Below are 23140 nucleotides of genomic sequence, written 5' to 3' on the forward strand. Positions count from 1 at the left end.
AGAAGACACAATAGTCCAGGGGAGACCTAAGGTAGTGATAGTGAGGATAGAGAGAAGAAGTATATTTCAAAGCCGTGTCTAAGGCTGTAATACTAAGGCATATGCATAGAGAGGTCTCTCATTTGGGCAACTGATTAATACTAATAATAGAAATAGGGGCTAACATACAAATGCCTAATGTCCCCACAACACTAAACCAATTATCATTACCTGAGGCCATCATGTTCCTTCAGACTTCCACACTATGGTATCTGAAGCCTCGTTCCTCTTTCATTCCGAACATTTCCATCTCTTCTACCCCTGCGTTGTCTAAGCTAACCACTTAAGTTTAGTTCATGTGTTACTTCTTTCAAGAAATTCTCTCTGACCCACTAAAATTTAGTTTTGAACTTGGCCAATCTTGGTTGTAAGCCTTATCAAACTGTTTTTGAATTGCGTGTTTTATAGTCTTATCTGTGAATTCCTTTTAAGGCAGGGAACTTGACATTTATTTTTGCATTTCTAGCACCTAGATTTGGGCTTGGCTCACCGTAGGAGTGAAATGTAGTTTGGTGAATTTAAAAAAAGAATGTTGGTGGTGGAGTGGGGCCAGAGTAATTAGCTAAAATTAGAGAGCTCTTGACCGCTGTTAGGTGGTGACAAATGCCTATGGGTCCACAGTCACTTAGTATTAGAAATAAGGTGAAGCCTAATGATAGAAGTTGCAGGTTACTCCTTGCTGTTCATACTCCAGTTCGTTGACTGGCAAAGCCTGCAGTGCAGAATCTGTCCAACTCCTCTATTTGAAACCAACTTCTAGGCCTATCTTCTGGTCACTTCCTTTTCTTTTTCCAGCCACGTCTTGAAGCGACAAGGAAAAAGTAACAGATTGCAAAATATCAGACACTTCAAATCTATTATTCCCTTTTATTTTTTATCACAAGGTACTGAAAAACATTTCCTCTCTGGGGATAGAAAAGGTGAACAGCTAAATATCTGACTCTAGCATCAGATCTAACCCCAGAGCCTCATCATTATATTAAAATGAGAGAGTTTATGAGACAAGTTTAATTGGGCAAATAAAGAGCCTGTTAAGAGAAAGCAAGTATTAACCATCAACCATTTTGTCTTAGGCAACAAAAAATGTTTATAGCTACTCCTCAGCTGCAGAACCCATCGCGCCATAAGAGACATTACATGTTAATAAGGAGACGCTTTGGTGCAACTGTTATCTCTCTACGTGATTAAAAAATGCTTGAGGTGAAGTTACTTACCAAGGTTTTCCTACACTATAGCCCTTGGGAAATCATTTTTTAAAAGTTAAATAAGATAAAGTAGATTGAAGGAAATCACTGTTTCAAAATGTAAACGCGTGACATTTAGCATCTGCATTTTTTTAACGAGTGAGAATTACGTTTCACAATGTTCTGTTAATGCTGTTATGCGGATTAGTACAGACCTGGAGACTGAGAGAAATAAGGCATAGCCTAAAGAAACGAATCAGAAACCAATTAAAACAAACTGTCAGGTTTAGTCTACGAGGCCCACTGCCCCCAAACATGTTCTTATTACGAATAAAGAGGTGCAGGTGAACATGTTTTTCAGGACTTTTATTTAACTTCACTATAAGACAGTTATTAAGATTAATCCTGACTTTGGAGTAAAAACAAAGTGCTGAAAGCTCAATTTTAGGATAAAAAGTCGGCTGGGCATGGTGGCTCATACCTGTAATCTCAGCACTTTGGGAGGCCGAAGTGGGCGGATCACCTGATGTCAGGAGTTTGAGACTAGCCTGGCCAACATGGTGAAACCCTGTTTCTACTAAAAATACAAAAACTAACCGGGTGTGGTGGCAGGTGCCTATAATCCCAGCTACTTGGGAGCTGAGGCAGGAGAATCACCTGAACCAAGGAGGCGGAGGTTGTGGTGAGCCAAGATCACGCCACTTCACTCCAGCCTGGGCAAAAGAGTGAAACTCCATCTCAAAAAAAAAAAAAAAAAAAAAAAAAAAAAAAAAGTTGAGCAACAAATAATATTAGGACCATAACTTATGCCTAATCTTCAGATATGTTAACTGACCATTTGGGGCCTGAAATGTTATATTCAATCTTAGTCTTAAAGTTATCAATTAGAAAATAGAAACATGTACTTCAATAGAATTATACTTTGCTCTCTTCTAGTTCCCATTCCCCAATAAATGAAGCAATTATCTAATAGTTCAGTAGTTCCATTAGAAGGCATGGTCAGGACTGGAGTTTTCTGTATCATAAAACTAGGAAGAGGCTCTATAGGTATAGTCCTAGGAGATGCGGAAGATGCTAACTACATAGACTGTTTGCAACAGCTGAGTGATCCTTTGATCAAATGATCAAATTAAGCATGTCTGATTCAAGCTAAGAGTGCAGGAGGGCTTCAAAAGGAATTTTCTCCTGAGATTTCAAAAGTCTTAGGGCATATACTTAAGGGCAGGGAGAACAAAGCAGTTGTCTTTTTACCTTACTTGTTCACTCTTGTGGAATAAGTTGAAGAAACCAGGCATGCTTATCCTGAAGAAGAGCTGGCTCTGTGGGAACATGATGCTGCTGTCAATTATTTGTAGGACTGTTTAGTGGAAGAGAGAGTAGACTCTTCCATATACAGAATCAAGAGATAAGACAAGGATGAGTTACAGAGAGATGGAGTTCTGAACATGAAAAGGAAGATGATCTTGCCAGCCTGAAATGTATGCCTACCTTGGAGATAGTGATCTCATCATCACTAGAAGCAACCAGGTATAGCCTAAATAGCCATTTATTGGATAGTGAGGAAATGAAATTCAAGTCCTATGGGGTTGGGGTGGATTGATCTATTGATGACGCAAGAGATTTTTTTTTTTTCTAAGTGTAATAGTCTTGACTTCTTTGAAGAGTAAAGTGCTATGCAGAGAACTCCCACTTCTAGCTATGATGGAGTAGCTAGTACTGGACTAGTACTTCTGATGTAAACGATATTAAAAGTGAAAAAATTTTATGAAAGATAACTATTTCTAGACTTTGGGAAAAAAATTGCAAGACTATAATCTCTGAAAGAAAGGAAACAAATGAGATGAGCCCTATCATTTCCCCAGGTTTCTGCTTGGAGGCATGTTCCAGACTGGTGCATGGAAGTGGAAAACATTTCAGAGCAGAATGTTCTCTTTGAATTAAAGAAACATTGATCAGAACTTGGGAAGGATTAGTTGTCTAGAATTTGTAGGGCTGAATGAAAAGAAGGGAATTATTCAGAGAAAGATGCCCAGAAATCTTAGCATTTTCCAGGGACTCAAGATAGCCCCTGTGCAGATTTCTGAGCATTTTACAAAGTAGAACAAATAACTCCTGGAGAAAGACAAAGCATTGAGTAATAATAAACTGGATAACTACTGAAATCCATAGACCTGAAGACTGGGAGACATTCAAGTTCCAACCATCCAGAGTTAAGTGGGCTTACTCAGTATGCTGGGCATCCAGTAGAAATCCCAAGAAGCTCATGTATTAAGCTCACTAAACTTGTCTTTTAGTAAAAACTTAAAGAGAGAAGTGTCTGAACGTCAAGAGGGAAGAAGCAGCTGGACATTGGAGACTATGGTTGGAAAGGAGTTCGGCCAGGTATGGCTGAACTCCAGGGAAAGACCACCTGGCCACTCCATCCCCTTTCCAGCTCCCCATCCCACTGAAAGCCACTTCCACTACTCAATAAAATGCTTTGCATTAACCACCCTCCAATCTGTTTGCACAATCTCATTCCTCCTGGACACCAGACAAGGACCCAGGTGCAGGTGAAAGAGGCTGTCACACTGACCCTCCACTGAGCTGTTTAACACTCAGGCCATCCATGGACAGCAAAGCTAAAGGAGTGCACTGTAACACACACCCCCTGGGCCTCAAGGGTTCGCAGGCAACCCCTACATGCTGCCACAGGCTGGTATGGGGTTTTGCTCCTGCCAGCACCCAAAGGCACTCTCCCTGGCTCCTGAACCTGCTCACCTGTATGTTCCCCCTCCCACAAAGGGTTTGAGTGCTGTGGACTGAGTAAGTGAGCCATCCCTTTACAACTCCTGCATAGGGGTCAAAGAAATTATCCTGCTTCAGTATGATCCAGCAGTCCCACTTCTGGGTACATACCCAAAGGATTTGAAATCACTATGTCAGAGATACATCTATACTTCCATGTTTATTGCAGCACTATTCATAGCCAACTTATAGAATCAACCTAGGCATCCATCAACTGATGGATTGATTTTAACATGTGGTATATATGCACAATGGAATACTAGTCAGCATTTAAAGAAGAGGGCAATTATATCATTTATGACAAAATGGATGAACCTGGAGGACATTATGCTAAGTGAAATAAGCCCGACACAGAAAGATAAACGCTACATACTCTCACTTATATGTGAAAGTTAAAAAAAAAAAAAAAAAAAAAAAAGAGAACACATAAAAGCCAAGAGTAGAATGATGGTTACCAGAAGCTAGGATTAGTGAGGTGGGGGTTAATGGGGAAAAGGAAATTCTATCATTAAGAAATAGAACATCAAAAGCTGAAAGATAAAATATCAGAAGAAAAAATATTCCTAGATAGGCTAAGATACACTACATATATGGCAAGAGAAAAGATCGGGGAACTTGATGATATAAGCCAAGCAAATAGAAAAAAATGTAGGCTAAGTGGTCTTGGACACCAGTAATTCCAACTACATGGAAGGCTAAGGTGGGAGGATTGCTTGAGCCCAGGATTTCAAGGCTGCGGTAAGCTTTGATTGCACCAGTGCACCCCAGCCTGGTTGACAGAGTGAGACCCCCCAATTCTAAAAAATAAAAAGTAGTACATAACAATCAAAGCAGAGCCTCACTGACCTATAAGATAATATGAAACCGTCTAAAAGATGATATGAAACAGTCTATAAGATAATATGAAACAGTCTGTAAGATGATATGAAACAGTCTGTAAGATGATATGAAACAGTCTATAAGATGATATGAAACAGTCTATAAGATGATATGAAACATTCTATAAGATGATATGAAACAGTCTATAAGATGATATGAAACAGTATATAAGATGATATGAAACATTCTATAAGATGATATGAAACAGTCTATAAGATGATATGAAACAGTATATAGGATGATATGAAACAGTGTATAACATATGAAACAGTGTATAAGATGATATGAAACAGTGTATAAGATGATATGAAACAGAGTATAAAATGATATGAAACAGTCTATAAGGCGATATGAAACAGTCTATAAGATGATATGAAGCAGTCTATAAGGTGATATGAAACAGTCTATAAGGTGATATGAAACAGTGTATAAGATGATATGAAACAGTGTATAAGATGATATGAAACAGTCTGTAAGATGATATGAAACCATGTATAAGATGATATGAAACAGTGTATAAGATGATATGGAACAGTCTGTAAGATGATATGAAACAGTCTGTAAGATGATATGAAACAGTCTATAAGATAATATGAAACAACAGTCTAACAAACATGTCATTGGCTCCCATGAAGACCACAGAAGTCAGAAAATGTATTTAAAGAAATATTGAGTCAGACATTCTTTGTATTTAATGAAAGCTATCCACATACAGATCCAAAAGGTCAATAAAGTTCAAGAAAAGAAGCCCAAGAAAAACCACAAAACATACTGTAATCAAATTTATAAAAAATAATGATTAAGAGAAAATCTTAAAAGCAGCCAGAGAAAAAGAGACAGGTTACAAAGAGGAAGAAAAAAGACATTGTTTCTCATCAGAAACAATGCAAAATAAAACACAATGAACTGACATTTTTAAACTGCTGAAAGGAAAAAATAATTACTATTGAATACTATATCCAGTAAAAATATTCTCCAAAAATGAAAGCAAAAAAGAAATTTTCAAAAAAAGAGCAAAAAGAATTCTAAATAGCTCATGGGTCAGAACGAAAATTCTCGGTGAAATTAGAAAACATTCGGAACTGGATGATAATGAAAACACAACACACACACTTTGTGAAATAAAAACAATACTTAGAGGTAAATTTATTATTTTAATGCCTATACATTAGTAAAAAAGAATGGTATAAATTATATAAGCTTCCAGCTTAAGTTAAAAAAAGTAGAGCAAAGAAAACAAGTAAGAGTAATGAAGGAAGTAATAAAGAAAACAAGAGAAGTCAAAGATATAGAAAAGGAATATAATAGAGTAAGTAATTAAAAGCAAAATTTGGTTCTCTGCAAAGATCAATCAAGTTAACAAATGGACCGCAGAGGGCAAACAAACCTCTAGCTATACTAATCAAGAAAATTAAGAGAAAACACAAGTTGCCAATATCAGTAATGCAAGAAAGGAAATCACAAAAAATACTACACACATGCAGAGTATAATAAGGTAATATTATGAACAACTTTATTGCCAACAAACCTCCATTACAAGAAATGTTAAAATTCTTCAGGCTGAAGGAAGGTGATAACAGATGGAAAACCAAATCTGCCCGATGAGGAGAAGAGCACCAGAAATGTTAAATATGCTTGTAGATATAAAAGACATTTTTCACGCTCTTAAAATTTCTCTGAAAGATAGTTGACTATAACAAGAACAAATAGCACAAATACGAGAAAATATCCAACCTATGGGGAAATGACATTAAAGACAAATGAAATAAATGGAGTGGTAGGCCGTATTCATGGATAGGGTGACTCAATATTAATTCTACAAGAAATTAATGCATAAACAGAAAGCATTTTAAATACAGTTGGCCCTCTGTGGTCCATGGGTTCTGCATCCATGCATTCAACCAACTGTGGATGTAAAATATTTGGAAAACAATGGATGGTTGCATCTGTACTAAACATGTACAAACCTACAAACTTTTTTTTCTTGTCATTATTCCCTAAACATACAGTAAAATAACTATTTACATGGTATTTACATTGTATTAGGCACTACCGGTAATCTAGAGATATTTGCAAGTATATGGAAGGATGTGTGTAAGTTATATACAAATACTACTATACCATTTTATATAAAGGACTTGAGCATTCATGAATGTTGGTAACTTCAGGGATTCCTGGAACGAATCTCTGCCAATACCAAAGGATGACTGTAAAAATCCTAACAAGGATTTTCATGTCCTGACAAGCTTATTGCAAAATTTACATGAAAGGCAAAGAATAGCCAGAAAACTCACATAAATTTTCCACCAGATATCAAGGTTTATTATAAAGCTATAAAATGTACTGCCTCATAATTTTAAGATAGGTAAAGACAAAGAGGCCAGTACAACAGGATAGAAAGTCCATAAATAGAACCATAAATAAAGAAAGTTTGAAATAAAGCAGGGTGTCATTTTCGAACAGTATGGGAAGTATGGACTATTAAATATAAGTTGGGAAAATTGGTTATTCATATAGAGAAACATTAAATTCTACACCTACCTTACACCATGCAAAAAAGTCAATTCCAGATGTATCCAAAACTGAAAAGTGAAAAGAAACAGTGTAAAATCTCAGTAGAAAATAATAGAGGTTAGTTTAAAACCTCAAAGAGAACAAAAAAAGGAAAAGAAACAAAATCCTCAAAGAAGGGTTTTTCTGTTTCTATTTTCTATAAACATTTTTTATTATTTATAAGTTTTAAAAGTGATTTCAATTTTTAGGTTTGTGGGTACATGTGCCAGTCTGCTACATGAGTATATTGCATGATGCTGAAGTTAGGACATGAATGATCCCATCACCAGGTAGTAACCATAGTATCAATAGTTTTTCAAATCTTGCTCCACTTCCTCCTTCCTCTCTCTAGTAGTCCCCAGTGTGTATTATTGCCGTCTTTATGTTCATAAATACCCAGTGTTTAGCTTCCTCTTATAAGTGAGAACATGCAGTATTTGGTTTACTGTTCCTACATTAATTCGATTAGGAAAATGGCCTCCAGCTGCATCTATGTTGCTGCAAAGGACATGATTTCATTCCTTTTTATGGCTGTGTGGTATTTCATGGTGTATGTATGTCACATTTTCTGTATTCAATGCATCTGTTAAATCAAGTTTAGTCTAAAACTGCCTCCTTACGTATTTTAAGTTCAGCCTAAATGTTTCTCTGTACATCATAAACTGTAACCTAAATTGAATTATAAATAGACTGTAACCTACTCTTGTGCCAATCACCGAGTTTTGACCAAAGATGGCCAACTATTCAAAATGTGTTCAAATAAGGCAAATGCTGAGCTGTAACCAGTCCGTTTCTGTACCTCACTTCCATGTTCTGTAGATCACTTTCCTTTTTCTGTCCATAAATCTTATTCCACTATGTGGCTGCACTGGAGTCTAGTCTCTGAGCCTACTGTGGCTCACCAGGCTTCTTGATTCACAAATGATTCTTTGCTCAATTAAACTCTTTTAAATTTAAGTTGGCTAAAGGTTTTCTTTTAACACACCATTGATGGGCACCTGGATTGAGTCCATGTGTTTGCTATTGTGAATAGTGCTGTGATGAACATACGAGTGCATGTGTGTTTGGCAGAACAATTTATTTTCTTTGAATATACACCCATTAATGAGATTGTTGGGTCAAATGGTAGTTCTGTTTTAAGTTCTTTGAGATATTCCCTAATTGCCTTCCACAGTGGCTGAATTAATTTACCTTTCCATCGATAATGTATAAGCGTTCCCTTTTCTCCACAGCCTTGACATGTTGTTTTTGACATTTTAATAAAAGCCAACTGACTAGTGTGAGATGGTATCTCATTGTAATTTTGATTTGCATTTCTTTGATGATTAGTGATATTAGCAACGTTTCATATGTCTGTTGTCTGCTTTCATGTCTTCTTTGGAGAAGTATCTGTTCATATCTTTTGCCCCCTTTTTTTTTTTTTTTTGAGACAGAGTCTTGCTCTGTCAGCTGGGCTGGAGTGCAGTGGCATGATCTTGGCTCACTGCAACCTCTGTCTCCTGGGCTCAAGCAATTCTCCTGCCTTAGCCTCCCAAGTAGCTGGGATTACAGGTGTGTGCCACCACACCCAGCTAATTTTTGTATTTTTAGTAGAGACAGGGTTTCACCATGTTGGCCAGGTTGGTCTCGAACTCCTGACCTCAGGTAATCTGCCTGCCTTGGCCTCCCAAAGTGCTGGGATTACAGGCATGTGCCACCATGCCCAGCTGTCTTTTGCCCATTTTTAATGGAGTTATTTGTTATTTTGCTTCTTGAATTAAGTTCCTTATAGATTCTGGATATTAGACGTTTGTTAGATATATAGTTTGTGAATATTTTCTCCCATTCTGTAGATTGTCTGTTTACTCTGGTGATAGTTTCTTTTGCTGTGCAGAAGCTCTTTAGTTTAATTAAGTCCCACTTGTCAATTGCTTTTTTTTTTTTTGAAAGAGGGTCTCACTCTGTTGCCCATGCTGGAGTGCAATGGTGCAAACATGGCTCACCACAGCCTCAACTTTCTGGGCTCAAGTTATCCTCCTACCTCAGCCTCCCAAGTAGCTGGGACCACAGGCATGCACTACCATGCCTAGCTAATTGTTTTCACTTTTTGTAGAGACAGGGACTCACAATTGCTTTTGAGGACTTAATCATAAATTCTTTCCTAAGGCCAACGTCCGGACTGCTGTTTCCCAGATTTTCTTCCAGGATCCTTATACTTTGAGGTCTTACATTTAAATATTTAATCCATCTTGAGTGAATTTCATTATATGGTAAAAGGTAGAAGTCCGGTTTCATTCTCCTGCATATGACTAGCCAGCTATCCCTGTACTATTTATTGAATAGGAAGTCCTTTCCTCATTGCTTATTTTTGTTGATTTTCTTGAAGATCAGATGGCTGTACATGTGTGGCTTTATTTCTGGATTCTCTATTCTGTTTCATTTGTCTATGTTTCCAGCTTTGTTCTTTTTTACTTAAGATTGCTTTGGTTTTTCAGACTCCTTTTTGGTTCCATATGAATTTTAGTATATTTTTTTCTAGTTCTATGAAAAATGACATTGGTAGCTTGATAGCACTAGCATTGAATCTACAGATTGCTTTGGGCAGTATGGCCATTTTAAAGATATTGATTCTTCCGATCCATGAGCATGAAATGTTTTTCCATTTTTTTGTGTTATCTGTGATTTTTTAAGCAGTGTTTTGTAGTTCTCCTCGCGGAGATCTTTCACCTCCTTGGTTGGATGTATTCCTAGATATTTATTTTTGTACATGGCTATATGGTAAATGAGATTGTGTTCCTGATTTGGCTCTCAGCTTGAACGTTATCAGTGTATTGAAATGCTAATGAGTTTTGTACATTAATTTTGTGTCCTAAAACTTTATTGAAGTCATTTATTAGTTCTAAGAGACTTTTGGTGGAGTCTTTACATTTTCTAGGTATAGAATTATACAGTCAGTGAAGAGAGATATTTTGACTTATTTTCCTATTTGGATGATCTTTATTTCTTTCTCTTGACTGATTGCTCTGGCTGGGACTCACAGAAGGATGTTTAAATAAGACACAAAAAAAGCACAAGTCATGAAAGCAAAGATTAATAACCTATTTGTATTAAACTATACTTTTGTTCATTATAAGACACCATTTAGAAACTAAAATTGAAACCAAAAACTGGTCAAAAAAAATCAATAAATAAAAAAGGGACAAAAATTCCCAGTGAACATACAAAGAAATGACTGGCATCCAGAATATTCGGAGAACTACAAATTAATAAGGGAAATACAAGTAAGTATCTAAACAAGCATTGTGCAGAAGTGGAGAACAAGAAAATAGGAACTAAACATTGGGTACTCATGGACATAAAGACCCATGGGTTGAAAAACCACCTTGTGGGCATTATACTCACTATCTGCGTGACAGGATCCATACCCCATTCTCAGCATCATGCAGTGTAATCACATAAACTGCACATGTACCCCCTGAATCTAAAAATTGAAATTATAAAAGAAAAGAAAAAATTTTTAAAAAGCCACAATGTAAATCCATTTTACAGCCATCATTTGGGCAAAAATTATGGACTTGTGAAAATGTGGTGCAATCTGAACTCTCGTTGGCTGCTGGTGGGGTATGAATCACTAGGTATATATTGGGAGAACAGTTTGGTGGTCTCTATAATATTTCAAAACATATAGTAAAATTACACGATAGCCGCAAAAATAAGAGTCTCCTTAGAAGAAATACATGTAAAACAAAAGGTAAAAGGAAAACTTAACCTAAAAAGAGCAAAAATGTCTTTGTTGAAACAGAAAAAATAAAGCAAAATGATAACCTTAATTTGAGGAATATATGAATGACTTAAATTGATTATTATAATGCACAATGAAGATATAGTACAAATTATCACTTACCAAATAACATAGATTCAAATTAGTAAAGCAAAAGCTATTAGAAAAAAAGGGGAAAAATTTTTTAAAATAAAACTTTTTCAGTTGGGAAACATTAACAAATATCAACAGACGTTGTGATCAAATCTGCCAAAACTAACATAGAAAATTTGACTGGCAGAATTCTTGAGCACCAGTTCATGGATATATTGAATTTTCTACTTTAAAAAGTGAACATGCATTTTTCCAACATCCATTAAAATTTTATGAAATTTAATAATATATTATGTGTCAAAGAGCACCTTAATTAAGTTCAGAATATAAACGAGCAAGACCTAAAGTAAAACTAAGACAACATTTAAGAATGGCAACAAGATATAAAATTTACATAAAAATCAATAATTTCCATAAATAGAATAAATCATTGGAAAATGTTAGGAAAAATCTCTTATAATTCTGCCCTTCCCTTCCAATACTGAGAAATAAACTTAACAAGAAATGGGCAAAACATATATGATGAAAACTTGAAAGCATTTCTGATAAAGACTTACCAAATGGAAGGAGACGTCTGTCCTTGGATAGGATTATGCAGCTTCATAAAGATATCAGTTTTTTTCAGTTTCATGTATAAATTTAGTGCAATTCAAATACAAATAAGTGTTCATTTGTTTGCTTGTTTTTCTGGAATAAGATAAATTGTTTTGAAGATTGAATGAAAAAAATAAACATGCAAGAATAGCTTGAAAATCCCTTAAGAAGAAGAGGAATAAAGGGGAACTAGCCCTACTAGACATTAAAATACACTATTAAGTTCTCTTTTTAAAATGTGATACTGGGATATAATAGACAGACATACCAACGAAACACAATAGAGAGCCTAGGAACAAGCTGAAGTGCATGTGGAAACTTAGCATATGTAAGACATCAAATCACTGAGGCAGACATGGACATTTAATAATGAATTTGACACAACTGGATAATCATTTGGAAAAAAAAAGAAAATTGTACTCATACCTCACATAATGCATCAGAAAGAACTCCAAATGGATCTGAAATGTAAGTATAAACAATGAGAGAGATATGTACAAGAGGAAAACATGGGCACATTTTTTATAAACTTAGAGTGAGGAAAACCTTCATAATTAGACTCAAAATCCAGTTGCAATAATAATAACAAAAAAAAAAGATTGGTAAATTTTACTGAATAGAAACAAATTGCATGACAAATAAACCATAGTAAAATATAAAGAAAATAACACTGTGATAAAATAGTTGAGGTGTCATGGATAAAAGGCCAATTTCCTGGATGCATAAAGAATTCTTTACTGTCAAAGGAAGGAAATATCAAAATCTGACAGAAGAAATGGCATTTAAAAAACATGGGGAAAGCACTCAACTTCACTCATATTCAAAGAAATGCTAATTAAAGCTACCGTGTGATGCAATTTCTTACCTATTAGCTTGTTTGGCACCAATTAAAAAGCTTAAGAACCCACTCTGTCAGTGAGGCTTTGGAGAAAAAGGCACTCACAAATTGCTGGTGCACGTGCAAAATGATACAATCCCTATGGAAGGGAAGTGACAGTGTCCAACAAAACTCCACACACATTTATCCTTTGATGCAACAATCCACTTCTAGGAATATGTCTGAAGATACACTCCCACAAATAACAAAACCAAGTTACACATGCATCATTATTTATAATAGCAATATATAGAAAACAGCCCAAATAACCATTTATGGGAGACTGAGTACACTGTAGAGCCATGAAACAAGGTACTGTGAAATCACAGAGAGAGAGAGAAAGAAATCAACTGATACAAAGGTTTTTTACAAAGATATGTGGACCAAAAGCCAAACACGGGGTACTATGCTTCCATTTTTTTGGTAAGAAAGACAAGGTAATAAGAATATCTATATATTTGCTTATGTTTGCTAAAAGAAACACAGAAAGAATAAGCAATAAATTTAAGAAAATGGATGGAAATATGGGGAAGGGAGAATGCAGATATGGATAGAGCTATAGATAGAGAAAAAGAGAGAGAGAGAAAGACTAGATATTTATCAAGGATTGAACCAGCCTTAGTTTGTCGTGTTATTTTTCCACCATAATGCTTTTTGTTTAATTTGCTATTTTCTGACCATGATTCTCAAATTGCTAATTATCTAGGCTCCTGATTTCTGGCCTGTCTTCCCAGACACCATAGGACACTTTTCTTTTTATTTGGACTTTAAATATAAGGTCGTAACATTTATTCTTTTCAAGTTGAATTATCCTGCAAAATGACCAAAGCAATTCTCCCTTTTATTTTCAGCTCTTTTTCTTGCAGCTTTATAAGTGTTGAGAAACACAGACTTTCTCCTATTGTGAAGTAAAGAAACCTAAAATAGATCTTTTTCAAACCTAGCTATGTTGTGATGGGGGAGAAGCAGGGAGCACCTATATGTTTTTATTGAGTAGTGATAAAAAAACTATACTAAATTGTTGGCTAGGAGACAACATAACTCATTTCCTTTTTTTCCTATGAATATTCCAGGAATATTTCCACATACCCATGGCAAAATGCACTTGGAAATGATCAGTAAATCCAGATATTTGTATGTAAGCTCAAATAATTTTTACTAACTGCTTACATTCTGCAGGCACACTAGCTGTGACAAATTGATGGTCTGGTAGGAAGTATTCTGGGGGAACTTTAAGACTGCTCTCAGGGACAAGGCCTGAATGCAGGATTCTTGACAAATATCCCTTAGCCAGAAAAGGGTGATCAACAGTTTATGTGGTGAGCAGATTCTTAATATTATTAAATTTTTCTCTACCAAGAAACATCTCATGGGGGAAAAATAATGGGCTCTCTGATACAGTTTGGATGTCTGTCCCTGAAATCTCATGTTGAAATGTAATCTCCAGTGTTGGAGGTGGGGCCTGGTGGGAGGTGTTTGGATCATGGGGGCTGATGCCTCATGAATGGCTTGGTGCCATCCTCTTGTTGATACATGAGCTCTCATTGACACAGATCTCATTGTTTAAAAGCATGTGGGACCTCTCCCTTCTCTCTCTCTTATTCCTGCTTTTGCAGTGTGACACCTGCTCCTGCTTCACCTTCCACCATGAGTAAAAGCTCCCTGAGACCTCCCAAGAAGCCGGGCAGACGCAGGCACCATGTGTGTACAGCCTGCAGAGCTGTAAGCCAGTTAAACCTTCTTTTTCTTTCTTTCTTTTTGTTAAGAAATTACCCAGTCTCAGGTATTTCTTTATAGTAATGCAAGAATGGACTAACACAGTCTCCAAACCCTTTAACAAAGTCCTACGTGGTATGGCTCTGCCTGTCTCTCTGACACTATCTTGTACCATTCTTTCCCTCGGTCAGTGTGCTCTGGCATGACCGTTTTCTCAAATACATCACACTAATTCATGGTCGGGCACCGTGGCTCTTACCTGTAATCCCAGAACTTTGGGAGGCTGAGGCAGGTGGATCTCTTAAGGCTAGTAGTTCAAGACCAGCCTGGCCCACATGGCAAAACCCGATCTCTACTAAAAACACAAAAATTAGCCAGGCATGGTGGTGCATGTCTGTAATCCCAGCTGCTTGGGAGGCTGAGGCATGAGAATTGCTTGAACCTGGGAGGCAGAGGTTGCAGTGATCTGAGATGGCAACACTGCACTCCAGCTTGGGTGACAGAGTAAGACTCTATCTCAGAAAACAAAACAAAACAAGACAAAAAAAATCACCTTAATCCCAACCTCAAGCCTGAGCAACAGGTATTTCCTCTGCCTGAAACGCTCTTCTCACAGACCTCCACATGGATGGAGACTGCTGATTCAAGTGGCAGCTTGGAAGCCTTCACCTTAGAAGCTACCTCATCCCACATCCAGTTACTCCATCACATTTTGTTTTTTCAACTTTCTTATCACTATTTGAAATTATCTTATTTACACATTTATTTCCTGTTTAAATCCACTTGGGCTGCTACAACAAAAACACCATAAACTGGGTAGCTTATAAAAATCAGAAATTTGTTTCATATAGTCCTCAATGCTGAGAAGTCCAAGATCAGAGAACTAGCATGGTGGGTGTTGGTGAGGGCCCACTTTCTTCATAGGTGGATGTCTTCTCACTGTCACTTCATATGTTAGAAGGGACTACAGTGCTAGCTTTCCCAGGCCTCTTTTACAGGACACAAATTCCATTCATAAGGGCACTTCCCTGCCAAGTCCTCATCTCCTAATACTATCATCTTGGGAATTAGAATTTCAACACTGAATTTTGGAAGGACACAGACATTCAGACCATAGGATCTTCTTATCTATTTTTGACTGGTCCTATTAGATGTAAGCTCCACGGGCATAAGAATCAGACTCATCTTCTTTGCTGTTGGCTAATATGTTGACCTCTAGAGTAGCACAAAGAAGTCTCAGCTCATACTATACAGTAAGCACTTGTTGAATGTATGACTGAATGTATCACAAAATACCAGTCTTTATAAAGGTCTGCAGTAGACAGAATAATATACCCCCTCGGGATGTTCATGCCTTAATCCATAGAACCTCTGAATATGTCATTTTACATGGCAAAAGGTACTTTGCAGATATAATTATATTTTGAGAAATATTATCCTGGATTATCCAAGTACATCCACTCTAATCACAAGGGCTCTTATTAGAGAAAGGCATGAGAGTCAGAGTTGGAGAGAGACTGGAAAATGCTATGCTGTTGGCTCCAATGGTGGAAGAAGTGAGCCAAGGTCATGAGCCAAGGAACGCAAAGAGCCGGTAAAGGCAACTGGACAAGATGAATTCTCCCCTAAAGCCTCCAGAGGAATGCAGCCTTGTTATTACCTTGATTTTAGCCAAGACCTGTGTCACACTTTTGACCTCCAAATCTACAATATAAAAATGTATGCTATTTTGAGCCACTAAATTTATGGTAATTTATTATAGCAGCAAGAGGAAACTAATACAAGTGCTATATTGGCTCTTCCCAGTGTATTAGCACCACGTCTACATTAGTGTATGTGCTAGGGTTCCCCAGAGAAACCGAGTCATGAGGGCATCTCTCTCTCTCTCTCTCTCTCTCTCTCTCTCTGTGTGTGTGTATGTGTGTGTGTATTACTTCTTTATATGTAGAGAGGGACAAAGAGAGAGAGGGACAAAGAGAGAGAGAGAAAAGGAGAGAGGGAGAAAGAAAGAGAGAGAGGGAGACACACCCAGAGAGAGAGAGAGAGAGAGAGAGAAAGAGAGAGAGAGAGAAAAAGAAAGACTGAAAGAGAGATATTTATTATTTATTTTAAGGAATTGGCTCACATGATTTTAGAGTCTGGCAAGTCCAAAAAATCTGCAAGGGTAGATTAGCAGGCTGGAGACCTACAGAAGAACTGATGTTACATTTCATGTTCAAATATAGTCTGGGAGGGGAATTCCCTCTTCCTAGAGGGACCTCACTCAGTCTTTTTCTCTTAAGGCCTTCAATTAATAGGATGAGGCCCACCCACATTACAGATGATTCTTTGCTTTACACACAGTCTACTGACTCAAATGCTAACGTGGTCTAAAAATAATACCTTCAAACAACATCCAGAAGAATATTTGACCAAATTTCTGGGTATCATGGTCTAGCCATGTTGACATATCAAATTAACCATCAGAGCATGTCAGAGAGGTGCTACACAGCTATTATCATCTCAGACATTGTATTGTTTACTGCTCTGATGTACATTTTTTTTCTTCAAATTCTCAGGAACAAAAAGTATTCACAGGAACAAAGCCATAAATACAAGTTATTTAGGCAATATTTTTCCTGCACCGTACCCTCTGCTGAGCTGGTTAGAGCTAGACTAAACTATATATTTTCTATCTCAGGGAATGTGGATAGGTTTCTTCTCAAATGTGGAATGTGAGGAAACATGAGCAATCGCCACCATTCTGTCCACACGTTAACTAGATTCGTATGGTGGGTTTTGCTTGTTTGTTTGTTTCATGCTATCTAGAATAGGTTTATTTTCTGGTAGCAAAATTATCTTGATTTGATTCAGAGAAACAAAACTTACAAGGCTTTACTCTGGTATGAGTTTGAAGATACTGGTCGCCACCACAGGGAGTCTGAGGATGAAATAGACATAGAGGAAGCAGATCAATAGACCATGCATTGTGCACAGCTGAAATCAAGTTCTACCTGAAGCCAATGCTATCCCTGGACTTCTCGGTTATCTACACCAAAAAATTCCCCTTTTGCTTAAGCCAGATTGATTTGAGCTTTTTATCTTTTTCAAGTAAAAGGGCACTACATGTATTAAAATTAACTTCTGGAATGTTGTATTAGAAACTCTTGAACCTAGAATGTGAAATTTCTGAGAAGAGGAGATAAGTCACCAAAGGTTTCTGGTCAACGTCTAAAATAATTATCAGGGCTCCTGACATACACCAAAATGAAGTGGGCTTCAAAAAAGGTGCAGCTCCCTGAAAGGACATCATCCTCAGTACCCAGCTCTTAAGTAGGACAATACTCAAGGGGGGATCCTTCCACAGACGAGAACCAGGAGCTATGGGGAAATAAATGGAAATGGGCAATGATTTAAGAGGTCAGAGCCAAGGTCAGCCACATTGGACTTTGTCTGGCCAGAGCAGTGAGTCATTGCTTTTCCTGCCCATGGGATAGGTGTGTACTATGAAGTAGGATTCATTGTGCATTGTTTTCCACTCCCCCTCATCCTTTCTATATGTGTTTTGGTTATAGGTACTGGGTCCTTCCTCCCCATTGCACAGTGGGTATGTAGGGATGGTTAAACTTACTAGCCATGGATCAGTGAACCATGGGGACCTGTATCCTAATCTCACTGGGTGCACATCCCTCAGAGAGTTTAGACTTGAAGATGGATACATTAATTAAATGAGACCTTGAACTGTCTCCCTTTGAGGTTTTACATTTTGGACAAAACAAAGATAATACACGGAGGTTTCATCTGTTGTCCTTGACACTCATTATCTATTCTCTGTTTTTGGAACACAGTGTGCTGACTTCCCCACATTCAGCTTATGTGCTTAGCATGAGGCTAACTCTCTCTCAATCTACGAGGGTTTGGTGTACGACCAAGGTTAAGTCAACCTGCTTGTTTCACTGCCTGGTCATCGTGTTTGGGTTCATGTCAGGGATATAAGCCAAGTCTGTGCAATCAGAACAATGAGGCACAATTCTGGGACTATTGAATGGGGAAGCAAACTCTCTCTTTTGTGCTGCTGGGGGCCTAAATCTGGCTCACCTATAAATGGAGCCAACTCAGAAGCAAAACCAAGAAATGAATCTGTTGACATCATTTGAACAAGGAATCAAGCTCTTATCTAAACAACTTGCTCTCTCTCTTCAAACAAATATAACTCTAGATATATGTCATACATTACTTAAGTCTTTTTGATGTAAGTTGCCAGTCACCTCCAAAGGTAAAAGTATTCCAACAAATATAAGTCTCTTATCCTATGGGAGTAAATTTTATTGGGATAAGTAAGATAATGAAGTATTGTTGAACAAAAAAAACTCTCTAACCTGCTTTTCTAACTGCTGTTATTCTTTGTAGTAGGAAATCTTAGTAGCTGCATCTGTCAAGATTTTTCACTGGTGAGGGCTTCACCTGTTCCAGCTCCTGATAAGATTGACTCCCAGCCACTCTTCTTCATCACTTTCACTAGATGACAGTTTATGACAGGCCTTCTAGAAGTAGGTGCTACCATACTAAAGGCTCTTTGCAGGAAATAATCTCTTTGGGTTTGTTTTTTAACCTGTAAGTTGTTCACTAAGAATGTTAAGAAAGGAAGTTTTAATTATTCTTAGAATTTTACAGCTGGGGATTATTTAGCACTTATCTAATAATCCAGTTAATGATTTACAGATGAGGTTCATTGAAAAAACATAAAAGGGGTATATCAATGAAGATGATGTTCAACTATAAATAATAAAGGCCCGGCGTGTAGTAAGCTAAACAAGAGAAAAGTTAACTTTTTACCATCTGGATAGAATATGAAGACCTACAGTTTTGGTGGAGACTGCTTTTTGATTACAAGTAAGCATTCTACCCTACTGTCTTTAAAAAGTTCTTGGACACAGGAACTGATTGTCCAGTTGTACTACACTGCTTAGCTTCCCCAGCATTCAAGTGTGATCAAGAAGACTATGACATTCCCAAAATGATTTGAGCAGAAGTGATGGATGCTTTCGGTCATTAATTATGTGCTTTGATGTTCTCCTTGCTTCCTATTGGCTTCAAATGATAAAGGCTAAAGCAATCTAGAAGCCATGCATTGAGGATGGCAGTGTGCTCAGCCAGTCTGATTCTCTGGCTGATTTTGAGAAGCACAGTCTGCCTTTCCTAACTTGTTTGAACCATCATGTCAAGGGACTCTTTTTTTTTTCCACAGAAGCATGACCTTTACTATAATTAATAGTGTAATATTAATTACCTTCAATTGTAAAACCTTTTACAAAACTTTTACAAAGGTTTTAGAATTGTGAAACCTTCAATTCTGTTTCTCTACTTTTCTTAGTTTCCATCAAAGACATTTCATGATCCAAAATGCCTACAGAAGTGCCTGCCATTATATGCACATCTTGAGTAGCAGGAAGATGAAGGGACAAATACAAAAGAAATGATGCTTTTTAAAGAGACTTCCCAAAAGTACCTTGCTACACTTCAGTTTACATATTATTGGCAAGAGCATAGTCACTTGGCCTTATTTAGCTGCAAGGGAATACATCTTTAACTGGGTGGCAAGATGCCCAGCTATAAAAATCAGAGTTGTTTTACTAAGAGAGAGGGTGTGTATGGGGAATAAAGTGGCATTTTCTTTTGTAGAGAGGAAATCAGTCTTTAATTTCTTATCAAAAGGAAAAATTTTTAAAAAGCAGCAATGAAGTTCATTATAGACATGTCAGAAATGGAAATTTTTTTCAATCTGCACCATCACAGGGCCAAGATAAAGTTTTTAGAATCTTCATTAAAATTTATACTTCTGGGAGTCATAAGCGCCAGTTTCATTTCCAACGTGTGCAATATTATAAAGTGGACCTGAACAGGCTGTAAAGTGGTTAGGATGTCACTTGGGCCAAATGAAAGCTTTGAGCTTCTCCACATGGACAATGAAAATGAGAGGTGTTTACAAGAGACTTTTGGGTTTTGTTTGACCTTAGTGAAGGGGAGTATGCAACCAAGACCATCACACAGAGCCATCCACCCTGCTTACAGTATTTTGTCTTGTTCTATGAGGATATATCCATGTCAAAATTTTGGCTCAGGTTATGTCCAGTTTTCTTAACCTCTTTCTTCTTCCTTAAGACCTTCTCTGGGGACTTTTCTTGACCTAAACAGGAAGGCCTAGCAAGGTCTTTTGCAAAACTAAGGCAGTATTCAAGGTCTTCATATTGTCATCTTTCCTTAAACATGATCACAAATTCTTTTTTTTTTTTTTTTTTTGAGACGGAGTCTCGCTCTGTCGCCCAGGCTGGAGTGCAGTGGCGCGATCTCGGCTCACTGCAAGCTCCGCCTCCCGGGTTCACGCCATTCTCCTGCCTCAGCCTCCCGAGTAGCTGGGACTACAGGCGCCCGCTACCACGCCCTGCTAATTTTTTGTATTTTTAGTAGAGACGGGGTTTCACCGTGTTAGCCAGGATGGTCTCGATCTCCTGACCTCGTGATCCGCCCGCCTCGGCCTCCCAAAGTGCTGGGATTACAGGCGTGAGCCACCGCGCCCGGCCGATCACAAATTCTTAAGTGTGGCTTGTACACTCATCAGTTTTTTGCAGGTAAGGGAATATTTTGATTTATTCTTCTACTAACATGACTTCTTATCTCTCATCATAAAAGGCAGAAGCATCGTAATTTTTTCATTTTAACTAGAACATTTAAATTTAAATAAAAAGTTTAAATAGAAAATTTTCTTTATATGAGAATCATTTTCTTTATCTGTACAATGACTAATAAAAATATTTTCTGTGACAATTTCTTAACAGTCTCGAATGCAGCCTTTACTTTTATTTTGTCAATAATAATAACAGTTTTTCTTTTTTTTTTTTTTTTTTTTTTTGGGTGACATGGAGTCTAGCTCTTGTCACCCAGGCAGGAGTGCAGTGGCGCGATCTTGGCTCACTACAACGTCCGCCTCCCGGGTTCAAGCAATTCTTGTTACTCAGCCTCCCAAGTAGCTGGGATTACAGGCGCCCGCAACCACGTCTGGCTGATATTTTTATTTTTAGTAGAGACGGGGTTTCCCCATGTTGGCCAGGCTGGTCTCTAACTCCCTACCTCAGGTGATCCACCCGCCTCGGCCTCCCAGAGTGCTGGGATTACAGGCGTGAGCCACCGTGCCCGGCCAACAGTTTTTCATGGATAGAGCTCCTGCAGGTGTTCCTCCAGCACTTTGCATTTTTCATCTCATTTAATCTTCACAAGAACCTCACAAAGCATATATTATTTAATCTATTTTATGGATAAGAAAACTGAGAATCAGAAAAAATGGATACTGAGATAAATCCTGTGTTACTGAAGTCTGATGTGCTCCTACCTGTGTTTTTCGAGGCAGTAAGATGGCTTACACTGCTCTGTCCTGCCAAGTCCCTCTGGAATCCCTCTGGCTGTCCAGCTGTCCCTCTCAGCCCATGGCAACTCAGAGTGCAAAGCCATTGTTAATACCTAGTCTTTAATTTTATGTTACTGCAGATTTTAAACTCAGTTCCACTCCACTCCAGCCCACACATTACAGTCATCCTTTTTCCGACAAAGGAGTAAGTAAAGAGCATTCTTACCTGATTGCACCACCTCCCACCCCATGAGGTGCAAACCTCCTGGGCACAGCAGAGACAAACTATTCAGATAAGTAAAGGGTAGCAGGCAACCACACTATTCTGTTTCCCAGGGCTACTTTCCATCCCATGCTGATGCCATAGTCTAGAGCTGTCCTGGTAGGAGTATAAATTTTACTACCCCTTGGAGCTGCCATGAGAGCTTGTTAAACAAGACAGGAATTAACATTTTTTATTCACTATGTCCTCCCTTTGGAAATGCTTTATGGCTGGCTTAGGCATTTTCCCTAGCAACCCATTCTCTATTTTAGGGAAATGGAAATAAAATGCCTGACATTTACTTCATAGAGCAATTCAGAATAATATTAAGGAAAATTTGGAGCCATTTCTCAAACTAGTTGGAAGGAGCATGGAATGGACATAGTTCTCCACTGAGGGATCCTAATGCATGCTTTATCCTGACATTGGTAGAAGAGTAACATGTGGCCACATTCTGTATTCCTCTAAGCAGAGATATCAAAAGGAGATAATCTGGAGAAGAAGAGAAAAAAAACTAGTTAACATATAGCAAGAACACACATATTCTCTACTGATGATAAACCTAATTTTTCTTAGGCCTTCGTCAACACTGGCCTGGTTTGGCTACCTTTTCTGGTGGTCTGAGAAACCCTTGACGTTCAAATGACAACACTTTTCCTGGATAGAAAAGAGAGAAAGCAGCTCAGGATATTTTGAGTCAACTTAATTTATAAATTTGCAATAATACTACGATTTTCTATTTTATTCAAGTGCAAAAATATTTCAAATTTTTTTTAAATTAAAGACTTAGAAAAATGAATGAGAGTTATCTAGACAGTATTCAGTAGATCACATATCAGGCTACTTTATGGCATTTAATAACCATTAGATGGAAATAAACAACTTAACATCCCTACTTAGATACTTCATAGGCATTGCAAACATAATATGTCCAAAATCCAACTCATGACCTGCCCCACCATGTCTGCTATCCCCATTTCTGCCTCATTCCCTGCCATTGGTCTGGTTGTAGACC

The 23140-nt window shown here is 37.6% G+C and overlaps 1 long non-coding RNA gene across 5 annotated transcripts in view; it reads right to left on the bottom strand.

Moving 5' to 3' along the window:
- Positions 1 to 23140, bottom strand: part of LOC101927745 (uncharacterized) — a 75707-nt gene that overhangs the window by 14198 nt on the left and 38369 nt on the right. The window contains exons 3-8 of one of the 5 annotated variants that reach the window (NR_188234.1): positions 17351 to 17402; positions 12316 to 12350; positions 11853 to 11982; positions 11326 to 11359; positions 7431 to 7471; positions 2475 to 2542 (exon numbers count right to left, since the gene is read on the bottom strand). This is a non-coding gene — a long non-coding RNA (uncharacterized LOC101927745). The remainder of the gene's footprint in view (positions 1 to 2474; positions 2543 to 7430; positions 7472 to 11325; positions 11360 to 11852; positions 11983 to 12315; positions 12351 to 17350; positions 17403 to 23140) is intronic. The other 4 variants (NR_188236.1, NR_188237.1, NR_188235.1 and 1 more) reach the window with 4 other exon arrangements.

This window comes from Homo sapiens, chromosome 21 (genome assembly GCF_000001405.40).
Source record: "Homo sapiens chromosome 21, GRCh38.p14 Primary Assembly".
NCBI lineage: Eukaryota > Metazoa > Chordata > Mammalia > Primates > Hominidae > Homo > Homo sapiens.